Below are 13,098 nucleotides of genomic sequence, written 5' to 3' on the forward strand. Positions count from 1 at the left end.
GTTGAAAGTAGTGAGACATAGTAAAAGTTGAACTTTTGATTTATAAATTTGAGAAGTTTTTAAAGAATGACTGTTACATATAATGCTCTAGTTATTTAAAATATTATCTAAAACTTTAAAAACACAGACTTTCCTCCTCAAATCCCTAAACTCTCCTCCCTTACTCCCTAGCCACATTAAAAATTCCCCATTTCTACTTTTTATTAAAACAAATTTTTAAAATCTTGCCTTCCCCACCTTCTTACTTTAATCAGATCAAATAAACATTTCTCTATCTCCAAACACCTGTGTATCACTATTTAACATCAACTACACACCAAGTACACAAACCTAAATTTAGACTTCAACACAAGCCTAGGGCCTGTGTCATCAGGAAACAGTTCTGCAGGTGCAATTCTGATATATATGGCCAATGAGGAGCCACCGACTGGGTCTCATTCTCTTCTCCGTACAGAGGAAATACCAAGACTCAAAGCTCAAAGTGACATTGAACAAGGAGGGTTGGAAGGAGGAAACACAATTTTAGCAGAGCCTATTATTTTCCTTCTTTGGCCTCGTACTGGGTATCACCCTCTTTGTTACCTCTCCTGGGCTTCTCCAGCTACCATCTTTGTGTCTATTTCATCAGGATGTGGCAGTCTCCCCACCCCACCCCCAGAGTGAGTAGCTGTCATTTTTGCCACCCAGAGCCACCTCAGTGTAGGAGCTTCTGGTGGAGTCATATCTGCCCACTAATCCCAGAGGTGGATTTGTGATTCAAGGCCAAGCCGAAGGACCCCGTGTCCCTGGCTAGGGTGGTTGGTTCAAGGGTGACCATGTGGTCAAGTCAGAGCCAGGGGAAGACAACAGACTTTTACCGTGAGTTCCAGGAGCCAGGCCTTTCACCCTCTTTCTGCTTGGCTCAATTAGGCAGGAAGTAGAGCCTGGGCTGCTGAAGGCTTCCCGCCACCCGATAGAGCCTGAGAATGGAGCCTGGAGAAAGTAGAGCCTGGAGATGGGGAGAGAGAAGCTGAGTCCTGAGGCCTGATCTGAGCTTCTCGCGGAGCTGCCCTTCAGCCCGCCCCCGTCTCTGGATGTTCCAGTACTGCTGGCAGTTCATTGCTGCCTTGCCTTTGAGCTGGGTAAGCAGATGTTGGTGCTGCATTTAAGTCGGCAGCTGCTATCATCCCCACAAGAACTGGAACCCACCTGTCAGCTCCCTGCCACCTCTGCTGTCCTTCATTCCCACTCACCTTACTTGTCACCATTACTGAGGAAGCTTAGCTATTCAAGTTCAGGTTCATTTTAATTTTAATCCAATAATCCACACTACCCTTCTTTAAAATGGTGGTGTTAAATCAGAAAAAGGGGACCTCTAGTGTTTACTGAAATGGGTAGGAATGTAGCATCTTGTTTACCAGGCAGACATGGGAAATAACCCAGAAGCCACTGCTGGAATGCAGCCGTCATCCTTTACCTCCTGGCTCCACAACATATATATATGTAGACCTCTTACAGTTAAATGCATTTCAGTAAGATTAAGGCGCTCTGCTAAAGAGTCTTTTTTTTTTTTTTTTTTTTTTTTTTTTGGGAGACGGAGTCTCCCTCTGTTTCCAGGCTGGAGTGCAGTGGTGCCATCTTGGCTGACTGCAACCTTCATCTCCCGGGTTCAAGTGATTCTTCTACCTCAGCCTCCCAAGTAGCTGAGACTACGGGCTCACACCACCACACCCAGCTAATTTTTGTATTTTTAGTAGAGACAGGTTTCACCATGTTGGCCACAACGGTCTCAATCTCTTGACCTCGTGATCCGCCCACCTTGGCTTCCCAAAGTGCTGGGATTACAGGCGTGAGCCACCGCGCCAGGACACTAAAGAGTCTTAATGAACCTGGTAAACCAGATTCTCAGCAACTTGTGATATTTCCGGGAAACTTTTTTAACAGAATGGGATGAAACATGGCCCCTTTTGCAGCATTGGATGTGGCCACGAGAGCCCTCTGTTGGAAGGGGTATCTCTCAGATCATTGGTACAACAGATGAGCAGTTGGGAACCTGTAGACTCTGAAGAAGGAAAGGTCAAAGTTCCATTTGTAGTCTTTCAGAATTAAAGGCTTGGCCTATAAGAATTTGTAGGGGTGGGTGGGTGGGGTCCTGGATCAACTGTGGGAAGAAGAAGGATTTTGTTCCCTGAATAATTCCCATTGCCGTTAATGGAAATGAAACTGTCAGGGCTACATTGGTTTGTTTTCATGGCCTCTGGACCAGGTTGCAGAACTGGCATTACTCATTTTGCAATAAAAAAATGTCTGGCCGGGTCTTATGATGATAGTTTATAAATGCCCCTGTTGGTTTTCTCTCTCCTTATACACAATCACTTTGAAGTTCCCGCAAAGTTAATATTTCACTTTGTTCCTAAGTCCCCATTTATGAACTTAATGAAGTCCAAGTATCAGAAGAGAAAGTTAAAGTTTACACATGCAACTTTGATTGTTCTCAAGTGACTCATTGGTTTAAAAAATTATTTAAAAAGTCAAAGCACTGTCATTTGCAAGAGACACTTTAATACCCAAGTTGAGGATTAGAAGTAAGACACAGAACTGTGGGCTATGCGTGTCCCAACACACCTTTAACAGAGTAAAAGCAGTTATATTTTACCACAGTACATATAAATTCCATGAAAATAATTCATGATATAAGGGACTTTTATTATGTTAATCTCAAATGATTTTAGGAAAGTTACAATTACTCCCCCTAGAAAGAACATTACATGTATTAAGCATATCATTGTTTTTAATCTATCATAAACTACATTATTTCATTCTGCTTCATGACAACCCTTAACTTCATTGTTCCTCCTCTTCCAACAAAGAAACAAGAAACCCGGGGCTTGGGAAAGCCAGGCGATTTGCCCAGGGTCGTAGAACTTGTGACTTGCGGGTCATTTCACGAACAGCCAGTTGCTAGAAGGTGGCTCGTCTGACTTCGAACAGGCTGTACTTTCCACTGGACCACATTGACACAGTGAGCAGATTTGCTGTGTGTCTCATTTTAAAGCTTCTAAACAAAGCGTTATATTAGGAATTATTTTCCTCTTCCCAATATCGGTACTCAGTGTCCTTGTGGCTTGATTCTAATCGTCTTCTGCTCTGGACTGATTTGTTCTTATGAAGAAATAGGTGTGGCTGAGGGAATTCCTCGAGAAGAGATGTGTTCATTACACACATGCCTGCCTCTGTGATTTCTAAGAGAACAATCTCTGTGTGCATTTTTAGCCTTGAGCTATATGAATTTGAAAAGGATTGGGCAATACTATAAAGCTCTGTATACCTTTACTATATCGCAAGGTGATGAGTCTGAAATGTGAGTCTTCAGACACAAGCATGTGTCTCACTTCTTCCAGTCATGATGGAGTCAGTTCAGATGAGAGGAAACTGAAATTGATGTTACCCTCCTGAAGGTTAGGAAGTGATGCCTGACCCAGCTCTCTCTCAGTGTAGCTTTGAAACACCCCCGAACTCTGGGATTGTAAAATGATATACATGGAGATTTTAATGCATTGGATTTTCTTTCCCCTCCAGTAAGTTCGGTGTAAAAATCAACCTACTCACAAGGAAAGGAAGAAGTGCTAGCACGCACGGGGTATTGACCACATACCACGTGCTATAGGGGTGGCTTTCAGTTTGTCACCTTCTTCCGTCCTCACAACGGCTCTGAGAGTTGGGAATTGGAGCGGTGGAAGTAACTTCTTCATGACCACCCAGTGGGCAGGGGAGCTGAAACCCTGCCGCCAGCTGTCCTGGCTTGAAGGAAAGCCTCTTCAAGAGCTCCTGGTCACCTGAGATTGACCACCGCCTGACCCCAGTGTGGCATGCAAGGCCTTTTCTGACCCTTTTCTTGTCACCCTGTCCCCCAACACACGCATGCACACGTCGCTTCACCTCAGCTGCTCCCTCTCCCTAGCTGTGTCCAAGAGGCCGGCAAAACAGAGCAATTCAAGTTTTCTGAGCCCAACAGCCAGTGTAATGCCTCTCAGCCTTTACACAGCATCTTCCAGTTCTTTGCAATGTCCCTCCCCATTGCCTTCCCCAGGCTCCTGTCCTGACTTGGGGAACTCCTGCCATGCTTTGTGGACCAATCCTGGGCATATCCTTCCCTGCAGTCTTCCCTGACCTACACAAGCCTGCCTTGGTTATACCTTCAGTTGGCTGCCTCTCTGTAGCTTAGATACAGTTCTCATTGCACTGAGCACACCCCACCGGCGTGTTCTTTCATTAATTCATTCATGCTTAACTATTAATAATTAATAATAATTAAATATTCATTGAGCCCCTAATCTGTGTGAAACACGGTGCTGCCAATTGCACTTACAACGACTAGCTCGGGATGGGCCAGTGACATAGGTTCAGTAAGGCAGCTCCTGGGTCTTTGCTGGAAGAATTAAGAAAGAAGTGGACTCTTTCTGCCTGGACTTGCTAAGGCACAGAACATAAACACGGAGCGACAGGGGCCACCTGGCTGGCACTTGGGGAGTCAGACATCAAAGAATGAAGCCATGGAAGAAAGCTGATGCTAGAGATGGAGAATGTGTTAAACCAAGAGCTTCATTCTGGAGAGGCTCAAGTGGGGAGTTCCCACCTTGGTTTTCTGTGCTGGTACATTTCTCTTTCTTTTTGTTCTATGCTATTTTGGGTGGAGTTTCTGTTTCCTATAGCCAGAAGAGCCCGAATGGAGTCCTAAAAACAAAAACAAAAACAAAACAGGCCATGCCTGGCAGAGAAGGCCCTTCTAAGGAAGGGAGTAGTTGGGCCAGCCTCGGGACACAGTTGGTGGAGGGGAAGGCTGCGAGGAGGGAGATGGCCAGGTTGGAGAGGGGGGAGGCTGGAGATGGGCGGGCTTGGGAAGGGCCACATAAAGTAGTCTCCAAAGTGTGGATCTTATGCCCAAATGGCTTAAGGAGCTGCCTGCAGTGTGATTTTTAGAAGGATACATTGGTGGCAGGGTAGAGGATGGGCTGGAGACAGAGCCTGGGGCTCTGGGACATCAATGCAGTAACATTGAGGCATCTGCATTTTTGCTTTCAAAACCCAGTTGCTGTAGGCAAAATTTTAAAAGCCCGCCTTTTCCATTTTTAAATGATGACACTATTACCAAAGCTAATTGTCATCTTAGACTTGTAAGTGTTGAAGGCCTAAGTTGGTTAAATTGTTTTTTGTAAGTTTTACTGGGTTTGGGGAGAAGAGTGGGAGGAAGCAGGAAACCCATTATTCCACGGGGTTGGATAAATGCGGCCCCACAGAGCTGCGTTAACCTACAGGGCTTCTGTGTTCAAGACATAACCTTCTATTCTGCAAAGCCCTCTGCCATTTTCCTTAAACATACACTTGGAATAAGTGATGAATGAATTAGCGTGTTTGCATTCTTTCTTCATTCTGCCTGCTACCTGCAAAGACAGAACTGTAGTATATGCCTTTCTCAGAAAAGCTGTGGACTTCAAATATTATCTCTGTTGAATTTTATCATAAAATAAAAAATACTCATTAACCTGAACTTCACAGTCTTAACCTTTAGAAGCTATGAAAAAGTTATCTACTAATGAAATAGTTTAAAGGATATTGAAATGGAAATGTTGTTACTTAAGAGAGCAAAGGTTTTCTTCCAACTCAGAGTATACACTTTAAAATGGGGTGAAAAAGGGCAGCAGTGTTGAGGCTGCTAATCATGTTGGCTCAAGTCCAGTAGTTCTCAAATTTTAGCGTACATGAGAATCCTGTAGAAGGTTTGTTAGTACACAGAGTTCCAGGCCCTCTCCCATCGTTTCTAGTACAGTAGGTGTGACCAGCGGCCCAGCTTCCCAGGAGACAGCCGATGTTGCTGGTCCGGGAACCACAGTTTGAAACCGCTGGCCCGGGCAGTAGAGTAGCACAGTTAAGTATATAAGGCAACTGGAGAAGTAAGGCTAAATGACAGTGATTAATTAGATGTAATCTGTAATCATATGCATATGTATGTATGCGTGTATATGTGTATGTATATGTATATGTATATTTCCAGCATTTTTATACTGACTCTCATAGAATATAAGCAAACTGCACCTTAGGCGTTCTCTAAGTAGTGATTGCTTTGATGCGACATTTCCTCCCATTGTGGAGCTCCTTGCTGGCCCCTGCAGGCATCTCCCCTGCAGAGGAGGTGCTGCACAGTGGTTAGAGCGTGGGCTTCAGGGCCAGTGGCTGTGTGGCTGAGCCCTCCTAAGCCTCCTTCCCTTCCTTTGCATGCCGCCGGGTAGCATCTCACCTGCACCTTCTTCGAAATACCAGCTACCTCTGCAGCGCGTCCTCTCCTTCTGGCTCCCCTGCCAGGGCCCCAGCTGCTCGCAGTCCTGAGCTGCGCCTCACTCAGTTCTGTGACCCCGCAGGACTTGCTGCAGCAAATGGGCTTTTGTATTTCCAAGGTACTTCATCAACATTTGTTGAGAAAAGGAAGGAAGAAAAAAGGAAAAGGAAGAGAGAGGGAGGAAGGAAGGAATTTTCCCAGGTTGCTCATTGTCTTTGTGACATTTTTTTACTGTAACCCTTTTTTTTTTTTTTTTTTTTAAGACAGAGTCTCGCTCTGTCCCCCAGGCTGGAGTGCAGTGGCGCGATCTCCGCTCACTGCAAGCTCCGCCTCCTGGGTTCACGCCATTCTCCTGCCTCAGCCTCCCGAGTAGCTAGGACTACAGGCGCCCGCCACCACGCCCGGCTAATTTTTTGTATTTTTAGTAGAGACGGGATTTCACCGTGTTAGCCAAAAGTAGAGAAAGATCCATTAGGCAGAAAACCTAGAAGTTATTTAGGTTGAACCGTAATGCCACTGTTGATACCTGATAAGTTTTTGATTTGCAAAAATCAGGCAATTTCATGTGGTTCAAACTAATATCTATTTAATACGAAGGTATATGAATCCTGGTAAGAATAACACAGTTTGCAAGTTTTAGAATACAGTCCACTAGGAGTGGATACTAAGCTTGCAGTTTATATGCTCTGGAAGGCCCTCTTTAAAAAAAATTAAGGCAAAAATACTAGTAAGGTATTGTAGATGGTGCCACGGAGAGGCCCCTGCCTGAGAGAACCTTGGAACTTGAGCATGTGCTTCAGAGCTTCATAGTAAAGACACGTGCTAGGGGCCTGGCTTGAAGATGGCAGCTCCTAGGACAAGCACATGTGAGGCTGGAGAGTCGCTTCTGAAGAATCTGTAGAATAGCACACCCACTTGGCAGGTAACTCAGGTGCCAGAAATCCATACAGTCTGCTGAGTCAAGTGGAGAGATGAAGGATTGCTGGAGCGCCTTGTTGGTTTTGAACGGTGCTATTTCCAAGACAAAATGAGCCTCCACGTCGGACAGACTTCAGAGGCAGACAGTTTGTCCTTTCGTGGAAGTTCTCACGTTCGTATGTTTCATGCATTTTCCCTCAGATGGGATGTTTTGGAGTGGAAGTGGAGCTAACTAAGTAAATGTAAGCCACACCAGGCAGACACCCAAGTAGGGAGCAGGAACAGAAGCTGCGGAAACTTCTCGCGGAAGCGCGGGGAGGAGGCATGATGCCAAACATGGAGTCCTTGGCATTTTCAGAAAAGTTGCTGAGGGGCTTGCAGGAGAGTTGTGAGATCCAGAAATTACTATTTGACTGGGGAGTGGTAGGTGCCTTTATTGGGATGCTTTAAAGAAATCCTAATTCCATAGTTAGCTGAGCCCAGCAAACACAAGCTCATATGTTAGGAGTGGATGTCCAGAAAATGAATTCTTTTTTTGTTTTGTTTTTAAATCTGGAAGCATGGCTTATCTGATTGCCCTCTGGGCTTAGCGAAAGCATACACCCCGTTGAGTATTGTGTTCTGGGCCACAGCCTAGCTGCTACTTCCCTCAGTTTCCCTCTGTCCAGGGGCTAAGCTCACTAAGATTCATTGGTGGGAGGTGGAAAGACCAGGACTCGTGGTCTCCTCCCTCGATTTTGGAACATGGAACTACCAGACCTGCCAGGATGGTGCTTTTTTCCTTGGCGTGCCTAATTTAAGTGTTTAAAATGCAAGTATTTTTAAACAAATTTGACAACCACAGGATGTGTCAATTAGCACTCTATGTATCTGGTAGCTCTGCCAGTCTAGCCTCGTGCTTGGCGAAACTCAGCAACATGAATATTCATTAATAAGCCCATAAGAGGGATTCTGATGAACTGAAATTCTGGATTTTGAAGGGCCAGTCAGGATGACTTCTCAGCGTACCAGTATGCAGTGGGCACATGGTGGCAGTTCTTTTTTTAAATTTTCCAAGAACTGACAACTGTTAGGCCAGTCTTGGGTGTGCCTGTGTATAAAGTTTCTAGCAAACTTAGAGTCAACTTTCTGGGGTAGACACCTCAAGGCTTTGTTTAATTGTTAGTTAGATAGTTAGAAATAATCACCACCAATTTACACCTAGCACAGTGTTCTGAATCTACTACCAGATTAAAACTCAGTCTAGAGGTATTGGGAATACTGGATATTCACATGCAGAAGAATGAATTTGGACTCTTACTTTTCACCAAATACACTAACATTAAATTTATTAACTACCTACACATAAGACCTAAAATTATAGAACTCCTAGAAGAAAATATAGGGGAAAGCTCCATGATATTGGGGCTGGCAGTGATTTCTTGGATGTGACACCAAGAGCACAGGCAACAAAAGCACATATAGACAAAAAGGATAATATCAAACTTAAAATTTTCTATGTGTCAAAGGATGCAATCAACAAAGTGAAAAGGCAACTTATGGAATGGGACAAAATATTGCAAATCATATATCTAATAAGGGTTTAATATCCATAATGTATTTTTAAAAACTCCTACAACTCAACAACAACAACAACAAAAGTAAATAACCCAATTTAAAAATGGGCAAAGGACTTGACATTTGTCCAAAGATGATACTCAGATGGCCAACAAGCATATGAAAAGATGCTCTACATCATTAATCATTAAGGAAATGCAAATGAAAACCACAAGGAAATATTATCTCACACCGGCCGGGTGCAGTGGCTCATGCCTGTAATTCCAGCACTTTGGGAGGCCAGGAGTTCCAGACCAGCCTGGCCAACATGGTGAAACCCCGTCTCTACTAAAAATACAAAAATTAGCCAGGCATGGTGGCACGCACCTGTAATCCCAGCTACTCGGGAGGCCGAGGCAGAAGAATTGCTCAAACCCAGGAGGCAGAGGTTGCAGTGAGCCAAGATCATGCCACTGCACTCCAGCCCAGGTGACAGAGTGAGACTCCATCTCAAAAAAAAAAAAAAAATTATCTCACACCTATTAGGATAGCTACAATTAAAAAAAAAAGTAACAAGTGTTGGTATGGATGTGGAGAAATTGGAAGCCTTGTGCATTGCTGCTGAGAATGTAGAATGGTGCAGCTGCTATGGAAAACAATATGGCAGTTCTTCAAAGAAACAAAAATAGAATCACCATATGATCTAACAATTCCACTTCTGGGTATATAGCCAAAAGAATTGAAAGCAGGATCTCAAAGAGAAATTTGTATACCCATGTTCATAACAGTATTATTCTCAATAGCCAAGAGGTAGAAGCAACTCAAGTGTCTATGGATGGATGAATGAATAAAGAAAATGTAGTATAGACATGCAGTGGAACATACTTTAGCTTTAGCTTCAAAAGGAAGGAAACCCTGTCCTGTGCTGTAACATGGATGAACTTTGAGGACATTATGCTAAGTGAAATATGTCAGACATATTCTGTCTAAGAATCTTTGTTTATACTAAGACAAATACTGTCTTAATATGAGGTATCTAAAGCAGTCATATTCACAGCAACAGAATGTGAAATGCAGAATGGTTGTCAAGGGCTGAGGGGAGAAGGAAATGGGGAATTGTTCAACAAGTTTTAGTTTTGCAAGATGAAAAAGTTCTGGAAATCAATTGTACAACAATGTGAGTATGCTTAACATTACTGAACTGTACACTTGAAACAGTTAAGATGATAAATTTTAGATTATATGGGTTGTTTTTTCTTCTTTTCTTTCTTTTTTTTTTTGAGATGGAGTTTTGCTCTTTTGCCCAGGCTGGGGTACAGTGGTGCCATCTTGGCTCACTGCAACCCCTGCCCCCCAGGTTCAAGCGATTCTTCTGCCTCAGCCTCCTGAGTAGTTAGGATTATAGGCACCCACCACCTAATTTTGGTATTTTTGGTAGAGACGGGGTTTCGCCATGTTGGCCAGGCTGATCTTGAGCTCAGGTGATCCACCCGGCTCAGCCTTCCAAAGTGCTAGGATTACAGGCGTGAGCCACCATGTCCGGCTATATGGGTTTTTAAACCACAACTAAATTTAGAAAGAAAAACTCAATCTAGAGAAGCAGATAGTACCAACACCTTTCTTGTACTTTCAATGAAGGTCAACTCAAGTTCATTTCTCTTGCCCAGCACCAGAGGTTGATCTGAAGCCAGCCTGTCTGAGAGTCAGCAACAGAGTCAGCCGCACTGGGACTGTTCAGATCTTCAGCCTACCCAAGGGCAGACTCCCCAAATTAAAAATTACCCCCCATTTCCTGCCTTTGGGCTACTTTAGTGCCTCTCAGAAGTGTCCTCAGGGAAACGGCTCTGGAAGGAAGTAAAACTGAAGGCAGAGCTGGTAAAAAGTTCTGTGCACAGAGGAATGTGAGGCTACTGGCTAAAAACGACTGGGTTTCAAGTAGTCTTGCACCTGCCGCCCTAACCACACATAAGAGAAGTGACTATTGGGACAACCAAAGCTCCTTGATGCCTGCACTTCCTCCTGCTTTATTTCTTCATCTCCAAAGGGATTCATCCAATGACTTCTTTTGGCAGGAACATTCTAGCTCAGAGAAGGTGAGCTGAAAATTAAGAATAGCTGTTTGAGGAGAAAGTGAGAGAAGGGCTCATAAACGTCTGAGATAGAATGTACGTGAATGTCCATGAAGGCAACCACATGCCTGTGAGTGTAAGTCACACAGGAAGGTGCTGGCCGATGGTTTGTATGAGAGCACCCCCATCCTTGCCATGGCCACATTAAGAAGCTATTTGAACACCGGCCCATATATATTGTGATTTTCTCAGAGGGGAAGATTTAAGGGACTTGAAGAAAGCAGACAGCGTTTCCTACTGAAATGCTGTCAGGCAAGCTATGCACAGAACTTCCAGTCACATATTTGGTGACTATTAACATGGGAATCACCGAATATGGGTATATTTTTATGCCACATAGGGACATAAAATTCCCTGCTATAATAGAAAAATGTAACATTCTCCTTTGAAATATCTGTACTCTGTTTAAATTAGCAAGTATACATGGTCAGAATTCATGTATTTGTGTTAGTTTTCCAAGTGAGGATTTTTTTAATGACTTTCTCTTCCGGGTCAAGTGTGTTAATTTTAAGGATGACTTTAGCACTTTTTATTATAATGGATCTTTTTTAAAAGAATGATGGAAGGTTGGGCGTGGAACCTCTTTCAGCCTGAGCTTTAAGCAGCCCTTTGAGTGACCTGATGGATGTCAAATACACACAGGTGCAGCAGCCGGCACCCGCCAGGTGTGCTATCAATTCCAGCCACTGGTATACTACTAGTTTTTAAGGTAGTTCCAGAGTCATGGTTAAAAAATGAAGTCTCTGACTGTGATGTTTCCTGCATGATCAAGGTCAAATTTTAAAGTCATTTTCCAGATCTAATAGACGGCCTCTCTCCCTGGCCACTCTCTGAGCAAAGTAGCCATAGCTGAGATTTTCCTTCACAAATTAAATATATGTATATACTTAGAGAAGCAGTTGCTGATGTTTTGAAAAAGGAGTATTTACTTAGAAAAGCAAAACAAATTAGTAAACTGCTTGCTTTACATAAATAAACTCTTTGGAATCATGTGGTATTTCTACGAGATGTCAGGGCTATTACCTGTGGTCAGATAAATTTGCATCTTACAAAGCTAACCAGGTTTCTTTTTCATAGGACTTCTCGGTGGGCTAGCTTACCCCAGAAATCTCCCAGAGGGGCTGGAAGCTGAGTGGTTCCCACTTTTATCTGCCCATGGAAAGCTTTCAGTGCTGGACATCTCTCAAACTAATGTTCTGAGAAACACACTTTGGGAGAAGTGGGGCAAATGCAAATGAAAAATAGAGAAAAAGCTTCCATGTTTAGGGGTGTGCTTCGTAACTTACACTGTTACAGCTCTTTTTACATACTTGACTTGTTAATTCTACTTCCTTCTTCAGGCTGCTTTTGACTTTGGCCTGTTCGTACCAAACCTTGCCTATCAAAGCGTTATATAAATTGCTATAGAAAAGATTTCAACTGAATTAGGAACACCAAGGAAATGCTTTCAATTCCCAGATTCATAGAATGTTAGCACCCAGGGTGGAGAAAAGAAGGAAATGACGGGGACGTTTATTTCATGCTTATGTCCCAGCCCAGTGATGGCCAGACTTGTCTCCCCTGACAATCAGTGGGTGCTGGAATGCACTGCCCCTGCACCCCGCAGGACTGAAGACTCATTCCCCCAGCAGCTGGGCAGGCTGCAGGCAGACGCCCCCAGGTGAAGGAAGCTGTGTTGTCCAAAGCCCACATCCAGTGACTGTGTAACCTGAGGGTATAAAAGCTCAGCTTCTTTGCTGCAATTTGGGACAAGTCTGAAGGACCAGCCACACTTCAGAATTCCCTGGGGTCAGCTGGGGTTTTTGTTGAGACTGCCTTGCCATACCTCCCCCTGCCCAATCTTGCATCCTGTGCATGCCACTGGCCTTGGAATCTGCTTCCCAGAAAACCTGGCCAGCAACGGTTCTCCAGGAAGGACGAAATCTCAGGCTAAAACTGGAAGTGGAAAGTAGCCACTTTATTTTCTTTTTAATTCATTTTAATTTCCATCTCAAGCTTCCATTCTGCCTAATGGCAATATCATAGTCTTTGTCAATTTAGAGTAAATTCAGCCAGTTCAGGGATTCCCTCTCCCCACTTCCCCCTGGGCTTACGTCTCCTTTCCATGGGACTTCAGGAGTTGTCATCTCTCTGTGCCAGAATCCATTGAAACATCCCATATCCTGGTCGCAGGCTGGTTTGTAGTCCATGCCCCATTTGTAG

General features: G+C 43.9%; 1 protein-coding gene across 13 annotated transcripts in view, besides 2 other annotated features; it reads left to right on the top strand.

Moving 5' to 3' along the window:
- CHN2 (chimerin 2) overlaps positions 1-13,098 on the top strand; it is a 367,738-nt gene that overhangs the window by 264,190 nt on the left and 90,450 nt on the right. The gene's annotated exons all lie outside the window — the stretch shown is intronic.
- Positions 5,835-6,336: an enhancer, noted in NCBI's record as "H3K4me1 hESC enhancer chr7:29456231-29456732 (GRCh37/hg19 assembly coordinates)". NCBI's record gives its function as "activates a minimal SCP1, AML or CMV promoter by ChIP-STARR-seq in naive H9 embryonic stem cells {active_cell/tissue: H9 hESC(naive)}" and the evidence as "EXISTENCE:reporter gene assay evidence [ECO:0000049][PMID:30033119]".
- Positions 6,337-6,836: an enhancer, noted in NCBI's record as "H3K4me1 hESC enhancer chr7:29456733-29457232 (GRCh37/hg19 assembly coordinates)". NCBI's record gives its function as "activates a minimal SCP1, AML or CMV promoter by ChIP-STARR-seq in naive H9 embryonic stem cells {active_cell/tissue: H9 hESC(naive)}" and the evidence as "EXISTENCE:reporter gene assay evidence [ECO:0000049][PMID:30033119]".

Source organism: Homo sapiens, chromosome 7 (genome assembly GCF_000001405.40).
Source record: "Homo sapiens chromosome 7, GRCh38.p14 Primary Assembly".
NCBI lineage: Eukaryota > Metazoa > Chordata > Mammalia > Primates > Hominidae > Homo > Homo sapiens.